Source organism: Homo sapiens, chromosome 2, assembly GCF_000001405.40.
Source record: "Homo sapiens chromosome 2, GRCh38.p14 Primary Assembly".
Lineage (NCBI taxonomy): Eukaryota > Metazoa > Chordata > Mammalia > Primates > Hominidae > Homo > Homo sapiens.
Genome location: NC_000002.12, coordinates 124,496,038 through 124,520,670, shown reverse-complemented (window position 1 = coordinate 124,520,670; position 24,633 = coordinate 124,496,038). Strand labels below are relative to the sequence as shown.

General features: G+C 40.7%; 1 protein-coding gene across 3 annotated transcripts in view; it reads right to left on the bottom strand.

Moving 5' to 3' along the window:
• CNTNAP5 (contactin associated protein family member 5) overlaps positions 1–24,633 on the bottom strand; it is an 895,933-nt gene that overhangs the window by 400,549 nt on the left and 470,751 nt on the right. For all 3 annotated transcript variants that reach the window (NM_001367498.1, XM_017003316.2, NM_130773.4), the window contains exon 8: positions 16,115–16,379. In NM_001367498.1, coding sequence (NP_001354427.1) covers positions 16,115–16,379 — 265 coding nt within the window. The remainder of the gene's footprint in view (positions 1–16,114; positions 16,380–24,633) is intronic.

Here is a 24,633-nt window from a genome sequence, read left to right as displayed (position 1 = left end):
ACCCCCATGATATAGGGGCTGAGGCCTAAAAGATGGGATTTGGGTTCCAGAAACAGATGAGGACAAACATACAATTTCTGAACTTTAAAGACATGTTGGGTATTATTTGCCATCTCCCAGACTAATAAAGGATAAAAACTGATTATGCTCAATCTCAATGAGAATAGAGGGAAACAGTCAATTTTATATGTTGTTCGTGGCAGCCTAAATTTGCACATTCTTTCTGGAAGGCAATACACCAGTAAGTATCAAAAATCCCAAGAATGTCATACCTCATTTCCTGTGAATTTTATTCTGAAGAATTATTTCTAAAATAGTAACAGAGCTGTAGCCAAGATTTATGGTGAAGGTAGTTCTTGACACCATTATTTACAATAGCAAAAATTCACTGCTACCCATATTTCCCATAGTAGCAGGCTAGCTAAAGCAAATATGGTTTATTCCTAATATGGTATATAATGTAGTCATTAAACATCATAATGTCCAAGAATGCTACTGATATCTTGATAAGAGAAAAGCTCTAAATAAATAGGACGTGCTGCATGATTCCCATCTTGTTAAAAACTAACACCACAAAAAACACTGCAATAATGTAGAATGACAGAATCACAGATTCTTTTATATTATACTGGAATTTTCAGTGTTTTTTAATGTACATTTTTTATAATCTTAAAAAAACCTGATAAACTGTTTAAGCTGAAATAAAAGACAGAAAACTTTTTTGTCCTTTTCACTTTTGTTCTCATGGCTTCTCTCAGGTGCTGGAATTCAGCCTAGGGCATCAGTATAAAGGGTTCCTTACAGAGAGAGAGTTAAATAGGCTGCCCTGCGCTTTCCTAGGAATCAAATAAAGACTTGGAAAATTTTCTCCATAGAGAAAAAAAGAATGACAGTTTTCATCCTTCCAACTGAACTTGCAAATGAACCTTTGAAATACCCCAGTTGTAAAAATAGCTAATAATATATCACACTACCAGTAACAAATGCCTATAATGTGCCAGGCACTTTAAATAATGTAATTCCTAATTCTTACAATAGTCCTGGAGGTCAAGTTGATTGCCCTCATGTAATAGATGTAACAGAGAAAAGTGGAGAGGCTGCACAGGGCCCCATGGCTGCTCAGAGGCAGAGCCAGCGTTCAAAGGGAAGTGTGGGTACTGGAGCTGAGCTCCTTTTGCTCATCATGCTGGCAACTCCAGCCAGCCCTGCCCTGCTCCTGCCATCTCTTTGATGACCAAAAAGCTCTGAAAAGTTTTATGTTCTGCTACTGAATTCTACTTTGCTTTTATTTTTATTATTTTTTGGTAACAGATTTATTGAGATAAAATTCACATACCATATATGTCATCTAAAGTGTGAAACCCAATGGTTTTTAATAGATTCAGAGTTATACAATCACTACAATCAATTTTTAAAACATGTCATCATCCCCTAAATATACTCTGTAACCTTGATATACTGTCTCCCAATCCCCTTATCCCTGCACCTCCAGCCCTGGCCAACCACCGCTAACCTACCTTTGTGCCTCTATGGATTTGCCTATTCTGGGCACTTTATATAAATAAAATCATACATTATGCTCTATTTTCTGACTGGCATTTTTTCCTTAGCATAATGTTTTTAAGATTCATCCACGTAGCATGAATCAGTACTTTTTTTTTTTTTTTTTTTTTTTTGCGGCCCAGGCTAAAGTACACTTTGCGGCCCAGGCTAAAGTACAGTGGCATGATCTTGGCTCACTGCAACCTCCGCCTCCTGGGTTCAAGCGATTCTCCTGGCTCAGCCTCCTGAGTAGCTGGGATCACAGGCACCCGCCACCACGCCAGGGTAATTTTTTTGTATTTTTAGTAGAGATGGGGTTTCATAACGTTGGCCAGGCTGGTCTTGAACTCCTGACCTCAAGTGATCCACCCACCTCAGCCTCCCAAAGCGATAGGATTACAGGCATGAGCTACCACACCTGGTCAATTAAGTATGTTTTTATGGTTGATGGATATGTGAATTGTTTCCACTTGGGGCACCATTAAGAATAATGCTGCTATGAACATTTGTGTACACATTTCTGTATGAACATGTTTTCAATACTCTTAGGTGTGCATATAGAATTGGAATTGCTCAGTCATAGGGCAATTCCATATTTAACCCTTTGAGGAACTTCCAGAATTTTTCCAAAGTGGCTACACTACTTTACATTCCCACCAAATGACTTCGCTTTTAACAATACCAACTTCAAACTTTAGTTCTGTTATTTTGTGAATCACCTAGCTTCTGAAAATAATTAAATGAAAATTCAACTTTTGTTTCTCAGGATGTCTACTTATGTCAGAAATTAGAATTCTAGTCAATTGTTATTACTTTGATATATCTTTCTAGATAAAACAAAAAATAGTTACAGAGCATATAATATGTCTTTTAAAATGCTTTTGATAATGAGATCTCCACAGCCCTTTATAGCTCACACTTGATGAAACTGAGACTCAGAACAGTTAAGAGATATTCTAAGGTCCTAAATTTGTTTTACAAGAGTAGGGTTTGGGCTTAAAGTGGGGTTCCTCAACACTGGCCCTGGGTATTCTGGACTGGCTTATTATTTGTTAGGAGTAGGTGTCTTGTGGTATACCTCCTGTGTCAGATGTGTAGCAGCACGCCTGCTCACTAGATGGTAATAACAATCCCCCATCACCATCACAACCCTCCATCATCACAACACAACCTTCCATTATAAACATCATCACCCTCCATCACCAACACCACAACCCCTCTTCACCAATACCACAACCCTCCATCACCAACACTACAACCCTCCATCATCAACACCATTAGGAACAATCATCAAAACCACAATACTCCATTACCAACACCACAACCCCCCATAAGCAACAACACAACCTTCCATCACTAACACCACAAGCCCCCATCACCAACACCAAAACCCTCCATCACCAACACCACAACCCCCATCACCACCACAACCCTCCATCACAAACACCACAACCCTCCATCACCAACACTACAACCCTCCATCATCAACACCACAACCCCTCTTCACCAACACTACAACCCTCCATCACCAACACCACAATCTTCCATCACCAACACCACAACCCTCCATCACCAACACTACAACCCTCCATCACCAACACCACAAAGAACGATCATCAAAACCACAACTCTCCATTACCAACACCACAACCTCCCATGAGCAACAACACAACCTTCCATTACCAACACCACAAGCTCCCATCACCAACACCACAACCCTCCGTCACCAACAACACAACCCCTCTTTACCAACACCATAACCCTCCATCACCAACACTATAACCCTCCATCATCAACACCACAACCCTCCATCACCATCACAACCCTCCATCACCAACACCACAACCCTCATCACCACCACCACACCTCATCACCAACATTACAATCTCCCATCACTAATACCACAACCCTCCACCACCAACACCACAACCCTCCACCACCAACACCACAACACTCCATCACCAATACCACAATGCTCCATCACCAACACCACAGCACTCCATCACCAATACCACAACCTTCCATCATCAATGCCACAACCTTCCATTACCAACAGCACAACCCTATCACCAACACTACAAATCCCCATCACCAACAGCACATTTTTTCACCATGTGGAGGATGGGTGGGCTAAAAGGTGAGTTTGGTGGGAATGGAAATCTTCCCTTGGCTCAGAACCATTGAGTTAAAGAAATAATTTTGAGGTTGCAGAGCCTTGACACACTCTTGTACTCTGGCTCTCAATTGTACCTCTTTCTCTCTTTCTCTCTAACCCCACCAATTCCTCCATAAAATTTCTAACAGATCTTTGCACTTCAATTGTCACCATATTTTGACATCTTTTTTTATGTTTTGAAGACAAAATAAAAAGCAAGATCATAATCAATGTTGCAAGGTGTCAATGAACCTTTGTAACCAAGTGGCTGTTCAGGGCCCTTAAGTGTCAGCTGTGACTACCCTAGGCCATGACAGCCACACACAAGAGCAAAAAGACAGCCCAAACCAGATCATAGTCCCTAAAGACTGTTTCCAACCCTGGAGATAACTTGTTACAGATTTCCTTGATGGCTTTATTCACCTGTTATTCCTTGCTCAAGTGCGTGACACTTAAAAATTTCCGGAAATTTAGACAGATTTCTTAATATCTCTAAACCTATTACATCATCTGTAAAATGGAAACAAAATAGATTGGCTTGACTTGAAAGTTTCTAGGCTTTATCTTCCCCAGAAAACTCAATTCAATGGCCTTTCTATGTCCTCTCATACATGCTCTTATTTAACAATTCGAAGGTAGCTGTCAACTTTTGTTGACTGTCTCACAGTCAACTTTTGTGAGAATAAAGTAGGCAATATATGAATAATTGAATAAGGAAGTCTGAAAATGTCAGTTACATAGTAGAAGAGTATATTACGATTACTAGTACCATTATGCTACAATTTAGAGCCTGAGTTATGTTTTCCTGGCACACTGTTTATCCATCAGCTATCAAATTCGATTAACTTTTCCCTACTTATGGTAGATTGAGTTCACATATGCCTTCAAATTCCCTCTCTTATTTTTGTTCTATTCCTTATCCCTGAAGCTGGAAATTTCTTTAGTGGTCCCCCTCTTTTCCCAGCCTCCTGTCTCTTTCTGATAGAGGACACCTTGCTAGATCCAACTACCTAAAGAGCAAGGTTATCATGGACCTCACAGCAAATACCCCTCCACTGGGTCATGGAGCCCAGAGAATGAAAATCACACTGCTTAGTTGGACAATCTACTCTTTCTCTAATCAAGTCTCCCTCTGTCTTTTCAGGCTATTTTCCAAAATCCTTACAAGAATTCCCTGCTCCAGCTGGACCATGTGTTCATTATGCTCCAAGTAAATATACTTAGTGAATTGGGGCTTCCATACCCAGCCTCTGCTCCACCTATACGCTACCCTTACCATTTCCTGCTATCAAAATCCATCCCCCAATCTTCCAAGGCCAAGTTTTCGTGTCAGCAAATTCTTTCCTAAACTGTACAGACAGAGAACATATGTTTTATTACTTTCTATCACAGCCAGCTAGCACAGTGCAGGGCATATAAAACGTGATGAATGATTGATTGATTGAATAAATTAGTAAGTTAATAAATCAGGAAACGAATGAAGCAGGTTTTCCTTGACTAGAATAGTGCAGGGTGATTTCTCTTTCTAAATTCCTATAGCATCCACTGTCTGATCTATTTGTTTAGCTCATAATATTTACTGCCTTGTGGTATTAATTAACAATCCGTCCATGTTAGTCTCCTCTTCCCAGTGGGATAACAGGTACCTGGGGGTCAGAGTTTGAGTCACGTTTTGGGACACCCCCCGCTCTGCCCCAGTATCAGCAGGGCAGCATTCTGCGCTCTCCAAGGTTCATTGATGGATTGAGCATCAGACCAACTGAATCTCCACTGCCAAGTGTCAGAAGCAGGCCCTCATGTGAGCATTAGCCATAAATCACAGGTTAAACCTTTCCTAGTCGTTTAATGCCTGGCTCATATTTCAAGGTAACCTGGATCCTGAAAAGCCTTGATCAGTGCATAAAGGGAAAACATCTGGCTTTGCCATCCGCTAGGGTCTGTTAGGAACTCACGATGCATTTGTGGTTGATGGTGAAAGTGTGGTTTCCTTGGTAGACTTGAATGCTGAGATCAAACATCCACACGCTAACCATTAAGCTAAACTCAAGAGAGTTATTTCCCTATTCTCTCCAAGATACAGCACAAACTCTGGGGTCCCTGACCAAAACTCTGCTTCATCTTTTGCCATCTGGGCCCCAGGCAGCTAAGCTTCCATAGTCTTACACCTCTGGTTCTCGTTCTATTTCTCTTCTCTTATTAGAGCATCCTTTCCTTCCCTCCATATTTGGCCAAATTCTATTCATTCTTAAGAACCAAGCTGTGATATCCCCACCTCTAGAAAGTCTTCCCTTTCTCACCTATCCAGCTGCCTCTTCCCAGTGCTTCCCCAGTGTCCCAGGCACATGTTCTATTATTCATTAATGCCTCTTTACTGTCTCTTCCAACCATGCCTATGAGCTCCTGGAAGGCAGTGCCTCCTTCCCAGGTTCAACCACAGTACCCAGTGCAGAGTAGATACTCCAAAAGTTTCCTAAAGCCAATGAGAGGAACTTCAAGTTACATGAGAAAATTGTCAAAGTAAAAAATACAAAAGAAAAAGGGAAGTGATAGCAGGTTTGACAAGAAGATTAATCTATGATAAAAAAAAATTCTATCTCCTGCAATTCCTCTTTTGAGTGAGAGACAGAGAAAATAACAGTGAGTTAAGAAATACAATGTCTCCATTGTCATTATCCAAACTTAAAAAGCTGAAGACGCCCAAGAAATCACTACTTTGGTAAACATTTCCAACCTTTGCTTGGTATCTTAAAGTTCAGGCAATTGCATTTCTCAGTTTTCCATAACACGAAATGCTTCATCATGTTACTATCTTCTGAAACTCGAACTCTGTGCTTGTTGTGATATCATGTTACTATCTTCTGAAACTCAAACCAGACAGCTTGTTGTGACAGTCACAGCCCTGTGGCTATCCACTTTTTTGCCCTTGCTAATGGGATTTTCTCATTAACATTATCTTAGCTCAAATACCGAGGCATTAATGACAACTTAATTGAAGCAGAGGATGAAGCTTGCGGCCTCGTCATGTTTACTTGATGTGCAGATGGTGGCTAGCTACAAATGGCTTCTATGAGAAAGGGCAATATTTGGGGATCAGCTCTGTTAACTGCAGGGCCGTAGCCTATAACCACCTGGCTGCCAGCATTCCACAGAGTGAGCACTTCCATCCTGCACGATGCAGCTCTCCAGGCCATCTCCCTACCTCTGGGAGCTCCCCTGCCCTTTACCTAATTAGTACTCCCCCCTGAGTATAACTCATTCCTGGGTTTGACACATTATGCGGCATATAATTGTTGTAACAGGACTGTTTGTTAAAAATCACTACTAACTCTTCTTTCCCTGTTAAAATTCTATCTTTCAGAAATGTTTTAGAGGTCAACTCCACTAGTGTATTCATGCGTGTGGCAAATAGTTATGGAAGACGTGTGGTAAGCAAGGTGTTGGACCAAGGCTTGGGCAAATAATGTACTTGTTTCCATGGTTGCTTACATTCTAGTGATGAGAAGGGCATTGGTCAACAATGAAATAGACATATTAATATACATTGCATGAGCTGAATCGTGTCCCTGCAAAATGCGTATGTTAAAGTCCCAACACCTAATACCTAAAAACACAATTGTATTTGGAGACAGGATCTTTAAAAAGGTAATTATGGTAAAATAAGTTTCCATATGTTTGGTGTCCTTATGAGCAGAAGCTATTTGAACACAGACATGCACAGAGAAAAGACCATGTGAAGACAGAAAAAGACAACCATCTGCAAGCAAAGAGAGAAGCCCTCAGAAGAAATCAATCCTGCCAACATCTGGATCCTGGATTTGTAGCCTCCAAAACTGAGAAAATATGTCTGTTGTTTAAGACACTTAGACTGTGATATTTTCTTATAGCAGCCTGAGCAGATGAATACATACATATACATACTTAGTAACAAACGTTAAAAAGAAGAAAACCAAAGAAACAAGGCACCTGGCCTGCCTTGGAAAGGTTTCTTGAGAAAATATCAATTGAGATTAAATTCTGAAAGCTAAGGGTGTCATGTTGACCATAGCTACAGGATGACATATTTTATTTAATGTAAATGTAGTCAATGCTCAATAATCATCAGAAAAAACATTCATTATGGCTGTTGATCTGAGAATCTCACCATATTTCAAGCTAGAGAAAGAACAAGCCAGTCACAGAAGTCTACTGGCTATAGAAAATTAACTGATAAAAAGGATGGCTTAAATGTTTTTTACATTTTTGTTTGTTTGTTTGTTTTGGAATACCTTATCTCTAACTAATACTGTTCAAGGAATTATCGAAAGAGTGAAATGTTATACGGTGGTTGAGGAAATATGATAAACACTATTGCTTGCTCCTAGGAATTAAATGGGATGCGCTGAGATGGCACCTCCGATAAGCCATTTGCCTTGACTATAGACACTTTTTCATGGTATTTTCTTGGTTTCTGGCTCTTTGCTGTCCATGTCACCTTTTGTCCAGAGATTTTGTCTGTCCCAGGTGATTAGCTTCACCTTTTGCCTTTTCAGCTAATAATGAGCAAGTGGTGCCAGCGCCAGGGTCAGATCTCTTAGTTTGGATTCTCCCCCCACCCACCCTTCTGGATTTCATTTTATTGTGCCAAAACCATGTATTTAAAATGTAGACTTACTCTTTAATACTGAAAATCCCAGGCTGAGTTTGATGCCTCTGGTGACATCAGGGCAGTACACTGTGCATCTAGGAAGCTCTGGGGAGAAGATGCTTTAATGGAATCCAAAGTGGGCTCTCTGCCTGCCTCACTGCTGCTTGCTTTGCCTTCTAAAGAGATGTTCACATATACCAACCGTTAGCTATAAGAAAGCCGGTCCCACAGCCAAAGACCCTTGCTGTGTCTCTGCCTGGATTTCTCTCTGCAGGAAATAGCTTCAGTACCTACAACCAATATTGTTCCTCTACTAACATAGGTTGAAGACCTAATATATTTTGTTAACCCTCCTACCAACATAGATGTGCGCACACACACACATATACACATTTAAGGAAGGTTGCAAAAAAAAAAAAAACCCTATTCAGGTTTAGATATTTGTCTCCTAATTCTCTACAGGTTGTGAAGAGTCATAGCATAACCTTTTTAAGACCATGCAAGCAACTCATCCACAAAATTCATGGTATCAAATAGGCTAAGTTTACTTTTCTGACTCCACAAAGTGCACCAGAGTTTTGGGAGTTGGGTAGCATGACCTCTGGCAAGGGGCTTGGCCCTGGGTACTCCCAATCATTCAGGACCATTTATGCCAGTTTCAAAAGAAGAGCCTTGGGTTGATGATTTCTTTGAAGATAATAAGGGGTGGGTTGGCCTATTGTTTTCTCTCAAGAAATCATGAATAGTGCTGGAGGGAGCATCCATGATTCTAGACTGATCCTCTCCTTCAGCAAATGAGGACAGTGAGGCTAACGGAACAAGACTTACTCATGTCCTACATCTGATTAGAGCACAGGTAGGCTGACGCACAACCACTGAAGCCTGAGTTCAAGCTCTTTGGCCAGACTGGCTGACATTTTGAGAAGCACTACAAAAAACAAAAACAAACAAACAAACAAAAACTTAAGCTAAAACTCCATGCCTGTTTCTTTTGATTCTCCTTGCCTTGTATTTTCCCATCGGAAAAATAAAAATAACATTGAAATGTCAGATCCCTTTCAGATAATTAGAGTGGTGCCGGTTATCTCTTAAGATTGCTTATGATTTCATATGACATTCAAAACAGTCTGCCCTATTCCTCCTAAGAAAACAAACCAGGTGGTCTCCTTTACCTTTATGAAATGTCCTGTTTTCTTAGTAATTCAGGTTGTTTTGAAAAATACTAAACTCCATTCTAAGCATCTCCATAAAAGCCTTTAAAACGGCAACCACATCCATCATTAAAAATAGAACATGATATCTATTGCTCAATGAAAGGGTATGGAGTTTGAGAGAGCCTCATGACCACATGACCATGTGAGAGGTCCCCATGGCACTTGGTACCTTATGAAAAGTAAGAAAGAACTGGGAGCTTAAAATATATAAATTAGGTTATCAAGGTAGTTGCTCATTCATTGGAGAATTGCCTAAATGGATTTTCAGATAAGGTTCACAGTCCAGCAAGACTCCTAGAAGGTGTTCTCTGCTCTAGTGAAACTCATGGCTTTCCACATGGATCAGATCTTTCAGTTTGAATTCTGAGAGATCTAATCTTGTTTCATGGGGCACGGGGAAAATTAGAATGGGAAAGCCTGCAGAAAGCAGGGCAATGTTCTTAGAAGTAGACAGGCCCTTACTGAAGTAGACCTCATGTCACTTGGCAGCCTTCATCCTTAGATGATAATCCTTTTAAGGAATCAGTACTGAGCACCAAAAAAAGAGTCTGAAGAAAGTATGACCTATTTTCTCAATGAATGTTGGTGTGTGTGTGTTGATATATGGAGATATATGTATATATATATATATATATATATATATATATATATATATATACACATACATAAAATTTACTTTTTTGTTTGTTTTTTTGATGGAGTCTTGCTCTGTCACCTAGGCTGGAGTGCAGTGGCCAATGAATATTTGTGTGTGTGTGTGTGTGTGTGTGTGTGTGTGTGTGTGTGTTGACATATGGAGATATATATATAGATAGATATATAGATATATATATAGATATATAGATATATAGATATAGATATAGATATATAGATATATAGATATAGATATAGATATATAGATATATAATTTACTTTTTTGTTTGTTTCTTAGATGGAGTCTCACTCTGTCACCTAGGCTGGAGTGCAGTGGCAGGATCTTGGCTCACTGCAGTCTCTGCCTCCTGGGTTCAAGTGATTCTCCTGCCTCAGCCTCCCGAGTAGCAAGTAGCTGGGATTACAGGCATGCGCCACCACACTCAACTAACTTTTGTATTTTTAGTACAGATGGGTTTCACCATGTTGGTGAGGCTGGTCTTGAACTCCTGACCTCAAGCAATCCACCCGCCTCAGCCTCCTGTATTATTTACTTAATAATATTATACAGTTAATTTTAGCTAAAGTACACAGAAGTTTATAAAGACAACAGACTTCCAATCTAGTGTGAATCCCAAGGTCTTATCCAAGTCTTATTCTTGTATAAGACCACCATGAAACTGTTTTTGAAAGACACAGCTTTAGACCTAAATAGCCACTTTCCTTAAGAGTCTTCTGTAGATTATCTATAGATGTAAAAGCAGAGGTTCTTTACATTTGAGTTATTTAAGCAATGGACAGTATGCACAATGAATATGGAGAGCAGCAGGATACTGTGTAAAGACCATGAACTTGAGAATTCTAAGGAAAAAGCTGAGGTTGAACATCACTTTGGCTACTTTAACTTAAATTCATATTCTCAGTTTCTTTCTATGTATGTTGGTATACTAACCGCCTGATAAAGTTTTATGAGTTTTTTTACAGTTTTGTATGACAAGCCCCTAGCACAATGCCTAACTGGCAGAAGATCTACAATGGCTGCTGGTTCTACTTTCACATCCCTTACAGTGAAATGAGGTCTTCTACCTTTCCTCATACATACATACATAAGGCTTGCAAAAAAAAAGGAGATGACAAAAATAGAAAACAAAGAAAAATACAAGAAAGAGATTCCACTGTTGTCCTTCATCTTCCTGAAACTTCATCCCTAGAATAACTAAATTCAGATGCCTTCTATTTTGAGGATGCATTTACTTTGCAAGTCTCTCCTTGATCTTCAATGCAAAAATCCCTAAATAAGAACTACTTCCTTCCTAAAAAGCCAAGCACACTGTACAAAGCTCGGGGAACAGGGTTGAAGGTGTGAGGCATCATTGTACTGCCCTTTCCAAAGGAATTACCTTCTCTTTTAGATCCAGGATGTTAGAACTAGTCTCAAATAAACCTTTGATTATCTGCATTCTCTGACCCATTTGGGACATACCAAGCATCAAGTATAGCCCCGTTGACTCTCAAAAATTATTGGAACAATTGTCATTATTTTTTCATTGTTCATATGAGATTTTCATCTTCTTTTAAAGCCAATATAAGCTCAAGTACTTTGAAAACAAGTTTCCTCAGAAATGTAAGGAAAGAGAAAACTGTTTTTGTTTGATTATTTGTTAGTTCTTCCTCCTCCCAGATGGGAAAATCGAAGAATACACAAAACCTTGATCCTTTTCTAAAAAACATTAAGTTCAAATTTTCCAAAAACATAGAAATTCTCCTTAGGAGAGAATTATACAAGAGTTTTTGGAACTCTGGTTGCACATTTTAAAAACTTCTTTTTGCTTATTTCAGTTTCTGAGAGGTGGGTCTGAAATAACTGATGATTTGTTCCCTTTCTGCAGCTGGGTAAGGTGGCAGCTCTTACCAGGCTCTCTTTCAGTCATAAATGCATTTTAATGGACTGACGTGCGCTTAACAATACAGACAGCACCTGGATTTTTAAGAGCAATGTGCTGCCAGGGCCTTCCTTGTATTAAAACTTCATTTTTGACCTGAGGCCTACAAGTCTCTGTACTCAAAAACATCTCACCGATAGAGAAACAGCTCAATGCCAGCTCACGTTTTTCTTTTTCAAATAAGGAGGATTGAGGCTTAATTTTTATAATTTGGAACATGAAAAAATATTACAATTCTAAGTGATTAACTCACCTCCATTACTGGAAATCTAATAAATTTTATAAAAATCGTCTGACTGCACAAATTCATTCTTAACTTTTATGACTCTCTAGAAAGAGGCCCCTTCTAGCTGTATCTCTTGAGTCAGCACGGAAGGAAGAAAAATGTGTTAAATAGCTACTCAACACTTTGTTCAGTATTTGAGATATACTACCTCATTTAATTGCCAGCACCAACATAATTTTTTTTTTATCTCTTGTGATAGGCAATATCTAAGATGATCCTGGATAATCTGTGCCTGCTAATATCCAAGTCCTGATGTCATCCCCTCCATTTGGACACAAGCTGGGCATATTTACCTGCTTCTAAGGAATAGAATATGACAGAAGTGACGAGATGCCATTTTCAATATTAGATTATAAAAAGACTGCGGCTTCTATTTGGGTGCTTTTTCTCACTCACCCTTGGCAGCCTTCTGGAGAGGCTCATGAGGAAGCTTGTGAAAGAAACTAAAATATTTCACCTCAAAATGTACTTCTTTGACATATTTTGAGAGGGCTGTTCCAAAAGAAGTAGCCCTGCAAAGCTGTCTTTTGTGGGGGACTTGCATCTGTAGAGAAAACCTGCATTGCTACAACAAGGCTTTCTGTAAGGCTCTCCCTTGTATGGATCGAGGACTGAGAGTCCAAACATTTAAAAGTCTGAAAAAAACATTTGTCATTTATTCTCTCTAAGGGCTGATACCTGTATGGCTTCACCTACATTTTAAGACCACCTTGGTAAACAGAACCTCCTTTTCTCTCCCCTCAATTACCTGTCTTGCCATCATAACCTGATTTACTACCATACCTGTTTTGTTGTTGTTGTTGTTTTGTTTTTTTGAGATGGGATCTCATTTTGCCACCCAAGCTGGAGTGCAGCGGCGTGATTATGCCTCACTGCAGCCTCGGCCTCCCTGGGCTCAGCTGATCCTCCTACCTGAGCCTGACGAGTAGCTGGTACTACAGGCATGCACCCACATGCCCGGCTAATTTTCAGTTTTTTGTAAAGATGGGGTTTTGCCATGTTACTCAGGCTGATTTTGAACTTCTGGGCTCATGAGATCTGCCCTCCTTGGCCTCTCAAAGTGGTAGGATTACAGGTGTGAGCCACCGTGCCTGGCCCATAACGTGATTTTGGCCATGCTCTAAACGCCAGTTCTTTCTATAATCTCAAGGTGATATAAAAGCATCAACCATCTGCCATTTCTTTGGGCTTTTACATTTTGTATGTCGTTGTGACTCCTGTGTGCATGTAATAAAATGTGTGTGCATTTTTTCCTGTTAATTTGTCTGTAATTCATTTCTTTTATAGACTCAAGTTATTCTCAAATAACTTGAGGGTAAAAATGTAAACTTCCCTACATGTGGAAGTGGATTTTCTAAGGCCTTCCTGAGCACATGAGTGAGTGCGGAAGCAGATCTTCCTCCATTGAACCTTGCCATGGCTTCAGTCCCCATTGGCAATTCAATTGTGACCTTATGGGAGACTCTGAGCCAGTCACCCAGCCAAGTTGTCCCTGGATTTCTGATCCACAGAAACTGAGACATAATAAAAAATGTTTTCAACCATTAAATATTGCTGTCACTTGATATGCAACTATAGATAACTAATACAATTCAGTTTGCATATGAGACAAAGTTTATCCAGGGCCACAGGAAAGGAAGGAGAAAACATATTAATACTTTTAAACTTGACTGCCTGACTTCCAGACTCAGGCCTTTCTGCTATGCTCAGGGGTTCAGTGGGCCATTTTGTTCACTATGGACATTTGAATGTCTCCCACGGTCTGACATGACCATAACTATGAGAAAAGAAAAACAGCTCAGAGCAGTCTGAACTATGTGAGTGATGCAAAGTATATTGGGCCCAGAGAGGCATGAGTATGAAACTTCAGTCACACACCCTTCCCCTGAGCTCAAGGCACCCATGCTCCAGGCAATTGTTTAAAGTCATTTTTTTTTCCTGACTACCTGCCTCACCCATTATCTTCTTGCTCCTGGAATCTGCGATACAAAGAACAATGCACAGGCAATCTTTAGCTGGTATGATTTTAATGTAAATTTCTGATAAACAACATAGAAACTGCCTCTTTTTTTTTTTTTTTTTCTTTAAAAGTCTGCTTCTAACTGCAGCTAATCAGAGCAGAATATACATTCAGGGCAACCTGAATCTATATTCCCAGGTTGCAATACTCAAGCTTGGCCCAAATAAACTATCTACTTATATTAATATTGCCTTGGCTTCTTCCTTTTAGGTCGACAACTATTAAGTCATATCCTTTACAATTTAACTTAATTTTTGCTAATCTACTTGGATAAAAGAACCATGCAGTCCAGTTGAGAAAAAGGCATCTAAATTAAATTGTAGTATAATCCATGATGGATGTTGACCTGCGGTGAAAAGCAGAGGGAGGTTTTTATTCAGATTGTTTATTCAGGGAGACTTCTGAAAGAACTTCTTCATCGATCAGCATGCTGCAGACCAATCCCTGCCCAATCCTTGGCATGTGAGATTTGACCTCAATGAGTATTTGTCAACTTAGTAAATACACCGCTGCTTGAAGGACATCAGAGATTGGTAACATAACAGAGAATGAGAGAGAGACTTCCACTGTTTCATGTTGAAGAAACAGCAGCTGGAGGAGCCAGGGTATCCAGAAATACAATTTGTTCACCGACCTGCTGTGTATTGCTAGGCAGTAAGATCTGTAGTACATGGCAATGAATCAGTGTTTCCCAAATTTTGGCCATTTGAGGACCATTTAAAAGTTTTCCCATTCCCTGGTGTCATATGTACTAGCATTTACTCAATACATTTAAAATATATATGTATACATATATATTTTTTAAATGGTTTTAAATTTACTGATTTTTACTTGAAATAGAATTTAGGGGTTATACAAACTTCCATGGTAATGTGGTTTAAGAGGAGAATATAGACTTGGAAGTCAGGCAAATTCAGGATAAATTCCCAGCTCCATCACTTAGGAACGTGGAATTTTGAAGTGATTGCCATGACTTCTGATTTCCTCATTTATTAAGTGTAAAATAGTAACTTCCTTCCGTAAGCATGGTGAAGATTCCATATGAAACATGCCATGTTTATAGAGAACCTAGCAGAGAGTTCTATAAATGGTCTAGATTATGCTAAATACTCCCAGGTAAGAATTCTTATTCCCATCTTTCCAATGAGACTGCTAAGAGACTAAGAAATTTAAGCACTTAACCAAAGTTGACATAGCTAATTATAAATTCACTTTTTGTTTTGCTTCCTACTAAGAAAAAAAAATGCTGGCCAGGCACAGTGGCTCAGGCCTGTAATCCCAGCACTGTGAGAGCCCAAGGCGGGCAGATCACAAGGTCAAGAGATGCAGACCATCCTGGCCAACATGGTGAAACCCCATCTCTACTAAAAATAAAAAAAATTAGCTGGATGTGGTGGTGTGCATCTGTAGTCCCAGCTACTCAGGAAGCTGAGGCAGGAGAATCACTTGAACCCAGGAGTCGGAGGTTGCAGTGAGCTGAGATCGAGCCACTGCACTCCAGCCTGGGGACAGCAAGACTCCATCTTCAAAAAAAAAAAAAAAAAAAAAAATGCTGCCTCTTCAGACTTGGAGTACATTTGTGAATACTGGGCTAACCCATATCCCTGAGATTTGGATTCTGTATGTTTTTGTCAGGACCTCAACCTTTGTCGACTTGGATAAACAAGAAGCTGATCCAGAGTGTCAGCAGACAGTACCTGTGAGGATTTCAGCTACGCGTTCTGTCATTTTCTGAATCACGAGTCTCAGGATTCCACCCTCCAGGCTCAGCAGCAGGGTTCCCGAGCCCTCAGACAGCTCTGTGGACAGAAGCAGACCATCCTTGTTCCATGTTCGAAACTGGAAACTCACTGAGAGCCCATCAATTTGGGGGGTGCCGGGCAGCAGCAAATAGCTGCCGCTGGAGTTGACAAATGTGATGGGCACAATCTGTGGTTCGGAGCAGGAAAAAGTGACATTGCCCTGGAAAACAATAAAAGTCAAACATATAAAAGCCATTTTTTATTCCGCAATCTGACAGCTGATATAAACAACCACCTGGAGCTGACCTTAATTTCAGGATCATTCCACATTCAGCGGCAAGATCTTAAAGAAGAAAAAAATGTCGGCTTTGCTCAGACACACTCACAAGATCGTTTTCCGCTCATTTGTTAAGGATCACAATGCTATCTGCAAAGAGGGCCATCTGAGAGTCCCAGAAGGAAGGGGGATGGAAGTATCCACACTTTCTAAGGGGCGTAAAAATAATTACATTTACTCATTATATAAATACCTATGGCAAGTCAACTATGTGCCAAGCTCACAATGTGGAACGTGCTAAAAAAGGGATAGATACTAGCTCCAGCGGGAGCCGGACAGGAGAAATAACTGGACAAGCAAAGGTTATGCGAAGGAAAACAAAACAAAGGAAGGAATTAGGAAAGGGGTGGAGTGGGGGTAACTTGACTAGCATTTTCAGCAAAGGCTTGAAGAAATTAGCAAAACAGCATCCCTATGAAATTCCAGGGAAACTGCCATTTCTAAGTAGTTCGTGGGACAGGAAGGTCCGGGTAGCATAAAGGAGGTAAGTCTGGAAAGGTGAAGAGAGGCAGAGCTTGAAAGCCCTCTGATGCTTCCTGAATGGTTTTCATTCAAACTTAGAAACAGTGCAGTGACATGGGCCATATATTTAACTTAGTAAAAGTATTTTCAATAACATAGATGAGGAGTAGATGAAAGGACTGGTCATGGGGAATATTAAGTGTGCATCGAACCCAAAAGAAGAGTAAGAAGATTATTCTTTGCATAGCAAAAAAAAGGTAAGGATCCCACAAGGGGAATGCCCTAACCTGAATGGCTACCTGAATTTAACTTTCCACAGAAGTGGCCAGGTGGCAGAGTTAGATACGCAGTACAGTTCTCAGTTCCAGAGCAGCGTAGTGGTTTGATTCCAAAAGCCTCTACCTGGAAGAACATCCGTAGGTGCCAACCATGTTTGTTTATGACAGTCTTGTATTCTTGAAAATGAATAGCAGTCCCCAAACTTCTACCAGTAGCACATTTCTAATGATTCATCCATCAGTCACACTGCTATGAGCATATTATTGCATGAATCATTTGTTGTAGTTGTTTAGATGTTTTCTTCCCTTCAGGCTAGATCCTCACAAGTTAATTAATGTGTCAAAGGGTAAGGACCTTGATATCCGTCAAGCAATCACCCACAGTATATATCATCCCCACCGTGCTAGGCAATAGGATAGGCACTTACATACATATCTTGTGAATTCTGCACAACAATGCCGTAATGTATTATTTTCTTCATTTAAAGGGTGCACAAGCCAGACTTAGAATAAATAACTTAGCAAAAGCCATGTGCCTAGTTAGCAGGAAACATGGGAGACAAACCCATGTTTGTCTAACTTGGAGGCTTTTGCTTTTAGCCACCATCTCTGATACCTCCATCCTCTGCACTGAGTGCTACCATTTAAAAAAAAATCCACCAACTTGCTCTTGGTATCTCACAGTTGTTTTAATTTGCATTTTTGGATCTCTGGTAAATTCCCTTTCAAGAATAAAAACATCACCAATGATGGCCAACTCATTGTGGTAGGGCTGTCTTTTGGAAGAAGCCAAATCACAAATGCTCTGCAGAGAAGCTAGGAAGTAGTAATAACTTTTATTTATCTTTTCCTTTCCTGAGGTCAGTATCATTTTTGTAAAAACAAATCTGCCAGAACACAGCTGCATTCAAAGTCTGAGGTTGTGTAGAGTGGGAATGTTCACAAAGATGAAGAAGGCAAAGGCATAGGAGGTTGCAAAAGTATCCCCTTTCCAGGAGTTATCTAAAACCCAGTTTAGCTTCACCCAAGCCCTCTTCTGAGTGTTCTCTGGATCACAGCCATGGAAGGCGGCTTCAGGACAGTGGAGGAGTAGAGGACCTGAGATTCTTTCCTTATTTGATCAGTTTGCTCACATCTGACCAGAGGCCTGGCTCTCTTTCCTCAGTCTCCCTTCATTTCATTGTTTAATGGGCCCAACTTCTTGAGCACAATACAGGGTTGCTCAGAATCTAAGGAGTTCCTGGATTGGTTCTCCAGAGCAAGGGCTTTAAATAAATGCCTTCAGAGATTGTCACTATTAAGATAAGGTTGTGAGTGGGGATGCACACCTAGCTCAACAGAAAGCAGGAAAACTTTGAAATGCACTGGGATATGCTTTCGGTCCTTGGACAGCTCCCTCGCTCACCTTAGGCCAGCTTCTCTCTCCCTTCCCCCGATTCCCTTCACACTTCCCTCTATCATTCTTGCCCCTGTGAAGCCACTCCAGCTATCTAAAACTTCTTTGTCTTTAGCGCATGCCTCTACTGTATTCTCTAAGGGCAAATCCAAAGGCAAGTAGGAGAGAAAATATGTGGGTGGATGGGAAATTCCTTCTACACAGAATCTGACCCAGCTCTCTGGGCTCACGTGAGTGTTGGCAGCTCAGTTTCCTGTCACATAGCTGCTGTGTGCCACTATTCTGACAGTCCTGTCTCAGCTGTGCTTACTGCTGACAGAAATGACGTACAGTGTTGAGGGCCATCAGTGTCACCCCTATTCACCAAAGGGAGGAGAAAAAAGAAAAATGAACTGCATGTAAAAATGCTACTTTTGAAATCAACATGGACTGACCATTTTCAGTAGTGCCATTTGTGTCTCCAGAATCTGTCTCAAGACGGCATTTGAGGAAGTTCCCACCGGCCATTTAGAAAAGCCATGTGAGAAGACATTACTTTAGAATTGTGTCAAAGGAGACATGGCAAATGGTCAGTGGCCTATATTCTACCCTATATATCTTTTAATCTCTTTCTCAAATATCATTCCTCCTATTCCCGAGAAGGAAGTTTCATTCCCCAAAGCCCATTTGTCCCTCTGTATGTTTAATTCCATTCAAGATTTCAACATTCATTCAAGATTTTTCAAGCATTATAAAATTGTGCTAAGCACAGGGATTAGTTAATTGTACACATAAATGTGACCTGATCCTTTGCATGCTGTAGTAATTAAATTCACTTTATGTACTTACTCTAATTTACTGTAATTGGTACAAAGTATGCCTGGCAAGGAAGGATGCATTGATCAAACCTTCAAGGTAAAACCACTGGCCTTGACCTCATAAGTGAGATTGAAAGGAAGTCAGTGAGCTGCCATGGGTCCTTTTTTTCCTCCCTATATCTTATAAGAACTCCAGGGTCTTTCATTGTCCAAAAAGGAAGTCAGTCTTCAAGGAAGGAAGGAAATCCTTGGGGTCTGAGTGCTTTTCCTTACCACACCCCCAAAGCTCCAGTTGAACCGTGGGCTCCTCTGTCTGACTGTGACTGCTGTTCCAGATGATAATGAGACCACCCAGGGCAGCAACTGCCACAAGTCACTGGTCCCGCCAAGTGTAGGTCTCCTATTGTTCCTAAGATGGTAGTTCTTAGTGCCCTATATTTTCACTGTCATACATGCCCCTTCTCGAACAGCCAAGATGTTCAGAAGTGCTGGGCCAAAGATGGAGTAGACATTTGCCCCTAGGGATCCCCAGACAATGTCTGTTTTTTCTGGCAAAAGACTCTTTCCTTGATCTAACTCTAGCCAGGCTCCTCTGAGTCCTCCCTTGTACTAGGTGTGATGTTGGGCTCTGTCCATGTCCCGTTTTTTCCAGTTTTAGCAAGAATTCTGCAGAGTTCAGTATACCAAAACCTCCCACCTTGGTCTGACCTCCTTGGATATATTATCACACTTGTCTGCCTTCAACAAAGCTCCTGTTGGGCTAGTTTAGCAAAGAAGTACCCTACCTCTAAGTAATTTTCCATTCCCTGACCCCCACCCTACTCCTTGGCTATAAATCCCCACTTTTCTTTATTGCATTCAGAGCTGAGCCCAATCTTTCCTGCTACTATAAAACCCCATTTAGTAGCCCCCGTTATCTTCTCTAACAATTGTAAAGAATACTGTTTTTTCAACACTTCTCTAGAGACCCACTACAGTCTTTCCTTGGTCAGCTCGACTGTGCCATGAGGTGCCCGGATTAAACATTATTTCTGGGTGTGGCGCTGTGTGTTTCCGGATGAGATTAGTATTAAAATTGGTGGACTTGGCAAAGTACAGTGCCCTCCCCAATGTGGGTGGGTATCATCCACTCCGTTGAGGGCATAGAGTAAAATGCACAGGAAGGAGGAATTTGTACTTTTTTTTTTCCTTCCTCTTGGCTCCATCAAGAAATTTCATCTCGTCTTCTCCAGCGTTCAGGCTGGGATTTACAACTTCTGGTACTCAGGCCTTCAAATACAGACCAGCACTGACTTTCCTGGGTCTGCAGATCATGAGACTTCCCAGACTCTGTAGTCCAGTGAGCCAATTTTTCATTATAAATCTCAATCTCTCTTTCAAATCTATTTCTCTTTCATATATGTATTCCACATATATAGAGATCCTGGCCCTACTTTTCTGGAGAACACTGATTAATACCAATAACAATGTGGGAGAGTGAGAAAAGAAAACAGATCTATGAGAAATTTGCCAGTACAATTGATAGAAAGTGTTGACTGAGGAAGGTGCTGGAGGGGCAAGTGTGGTTCCCATTCTTCTCTGAGAGTACAATGGATTTCAAACAGGAAAGCACAGATGGTTGCTGACTACTGATAGACCATCACCTCCCTTGGATTGTGTCCCTCGTCATCGGCACTACCCTCACTAGAGTGAAGAGACACACTAAAAGCAAAGCTGTCCTCTAGACATACGTTGTGCCTTCCTTCCTCCACCAGGCATGACCTCTTCATTCCTCTGCACCCTCCATCCCCACTTTTGCCCTGCAGGGCCCAGCAAGCCTTCTGGGCTTGCCCATGCCCAGACCTTTCCTGACATCCATCCCACAGTGGCTGCCTTCTCCATGGGCTTACAGTCGTGTGTGCTACCTGTGGAAATCTATTATGTTTCTTATACTGCCTTGTAATAATTAGCTACTTTTTGATAACTGCCCATGCCTTACACAATAGGTTTACAATTTGGTATAGATCATCTTGCTCTGAATTCTGAAGGAAGTGAGGGTGTTAAATTTAGGCAGAACTAGATTCTTGTTACAAATATTTAGGGAAAAAAAAACATGCCTTTCTCTGGTCCTCATTGTTTCCTTCATGATCTGGGGAATAATAGTAGTGGGATGATTTAAGACCACATGAGACCACGTGCAATGTATCTAGCATTGCTCCTGGCTTATTGTTTCTCCCTTTTCCCAGATCTGATGCTTTTCTGGGTGGCCAGAGGTAAGTCAATTCTAGAGGCTTAGGTTTCTTTTTTGTAACCTGAGGCTATTGAGCTGGAGGGCCCTAATATTCCCACTTGTTTCTCTAACCTTGGGTATCTGAGACTGAAGACCCACATCTTTAACATCTGTCTTGTCTTTGGAGAGGATTTGGGGATCATCTGAATCATTCTGTTGTTGGCATGAGAAGTGTAACCAAGTATTTACATTTTAGAAGACTTTTTCTTTGAATGATGCAGGCTCTAAAGAGGGAAACTTAGGCCTCTTCCCTAATAATTCCTGTCTTGATGCAGGAAAGAGGCCAAGAATCACAATCCATGATAAGTATATTAAAATAAAAAGTAAGTGAGCAAAAGATGATATATTTTTACGTGTTAAAGAAATAAGAAGGCCAAGCGTGGTAGCTCACATCTGTAATCCCAGCACTTAGAACGGCTGAGGTGGGAGGATCACTTCAATCCAGGAATTTGAGATCTGCCTCGGCAACATGATGAGACCCAATCTCTATTTAAAAAGTAAATAAGAAGCCTGATATTTTAAAACACACTTACAAGAGTATAATAACCAATTGACTGATTATGCTTTCCCCTTCCCTCCCCCTCCCCAGAAACTGTAGCCTAAAATATTTTACAAAGAGAAAGCTAGATTAATGCTGAGCTGTATGAGGAACTACAATGGTTGCAACTTTCTTGCAGAAGATAAAATGGGAGAAATTATATGCAGCCACTTAGACAGGTGCCAGTTCAGGGACTATGCAATGAAAACCAGAAGCAAACCGTGAGAGAGAATGAAGTTTCTAAGCAGCGCCTTCCTTGAAGACGTATTCAGGCCATTCTGCCACTAAACCAGAAGTGTGCCATATGCTGATGGAAATCCAATAAAACCCATCCACCTAAAAGCTTTCCTCTGTCGCAGAGAAACTCATCCAAAAGGAGATATTGCAGTAATAGTGTAATTACCATGATCATCTCATGACTGATGGACAGGAGTGTCATGGCAGAAGGTTTACTTCCTCAAGACTTTTGACACAGAGAACACAGTAGTAGTTAAGTCTTTGTCATGTGACTACAGAACCAATCGAATGAATTTACACTTATCTGTTACACAGACGAAGAACTTCAGAAGATGCTGCTCTGCTGATAGACACAAGGATGGAACCACTGCAGTGGTCTGAATGTGATTGTATAATAGAAAGAATAGACTGAAATGTATTGAACAGGGAGCTCAGGCCTCCATGTTAGTCAAACATTCCTAAACCTGGACTCTCGTATGTTCATTGGTCACTGGGTATTTTTGCCAGGTCTCAGCACGTGGCATAGAAACCATAATTTACTAAGCTAGAACAAGTACCTATCAGAAATGAGAAGAGAGACATTCTTAACAAATGGCTTCATTTGTACTCATTTCCTGGCTTTATGATTAAACATAATCCTTTGGTTATTTCACTTGAGGTCATTGATGTACATGAAAAACTTTAGAACTTAGCAAGAAAAGACAATTCTGCTTGAATTTTCCATTTGGATGCTGGCTTTGCCTTATATTTCTGCTAGGAGTCCATCCTCTTTCAAGACTTTTACTGAATTACTTGCCAACCCTATGTTGGCTGCATAGACAATAGGTTATGCTAAAGTGAACCATCACTGTTAAATGGCTCAGAGGTGTTTCTATTAGTGGGCATTATACCTCTAGTCAAACATTGGTCAGTTATTTTGGATATTCAAGCACATTCCTTTTGGACTCCTTTCACTACCCAAAGACACCTATTACTGTTTACTATTAGTGACTCAAGCCATTTAGCTATTTTGTGGAAGACTCCAGAAAGTTGTTGGCTGCTCTGCTTTAAATGAAAACCTGAAAATAAAAAAAGCTATAAATAAAAAGCGTGTGAGGACCATGCAAGATCCATGGTCTCTAGCGGATTCTCAACCAGGCTGTCACCACTGCTTCAAACACTGCTTACCAGCTCAACAGTAAAGCTCTGGTCTGACCTTGAGTCACCTGGGAAGAATAAAACAAGAATAAGGGACTACTCTTTGTTGAAAAAAGACCTGAGGTTATACATCCAGGTAGCTATGGATAGGCTACGACTGAAAGGAGAATGCATCTGAATCCAATCAGGTGACTAAGGCAGAAGCCAGAGAAAGGGGATGCATGGGTTGGTGAAGAAGATGGAAGGAAGACAGACAGTCTGCTCCCATTGAGACTCCTCTACCGTAGGGACAGTGAGATCCTGGCACGTCCTTCATTATTCCTGAGAGGAAATAGTAAGTCAGGTGTGGCTGTCCCGCCACTCCAGGAAACTAATTTTTAAGACCTGAAGAGAATACAGCAGGCCCAGCTTGAAGTTCTGCTTAGCTTGGCTATTTTTCAAGTTTCTTATGTGTGACGCTTCCAAGGGTTACATTACTGTGCTGAGCTGTTATTTACAAAACTTTTTCATTGTGGGTGTTTGTTTTGTTTTTAATCATCATCTAGACGCCACAACACCCTGGTGAGTAAAAAATAAAGCTAGCAGTGCAAAGCTGAGCTTCAGTCATGAGGCATCAAACAAAGCCAATCAAGCATTTATAAGCTGGAGAAAATGATCTTCATCCAATCTAATTTGCGGGGAAAGATTTCAAAGCCAGTTCTTGATTTTCCAAATGAGTACAACCATTTCTAATTTGATTTGTCTGAGAACTACCAGCACTGACTGGCACGCTGTCAGCAAATGTAGGGAAAAGACTGCCCTGTGAGCTCAAGCTACCTTCCTATTCACAAACTCAGGGTGACTCGGGAATCAAATCAAGGCTCTTTTTCATTTTTGGGAAAGACAGGCTCCTTCATTTTTTTATTGACTTATTTAGCAGTTCTCTATTTAGCAGTTCTCTATTAAGCAGTTCATATGGGCCACCTTGATTCTCATGACTACGGATACAGTGAAGGAGTGAGACAGACTCAGACCCGCCCACCT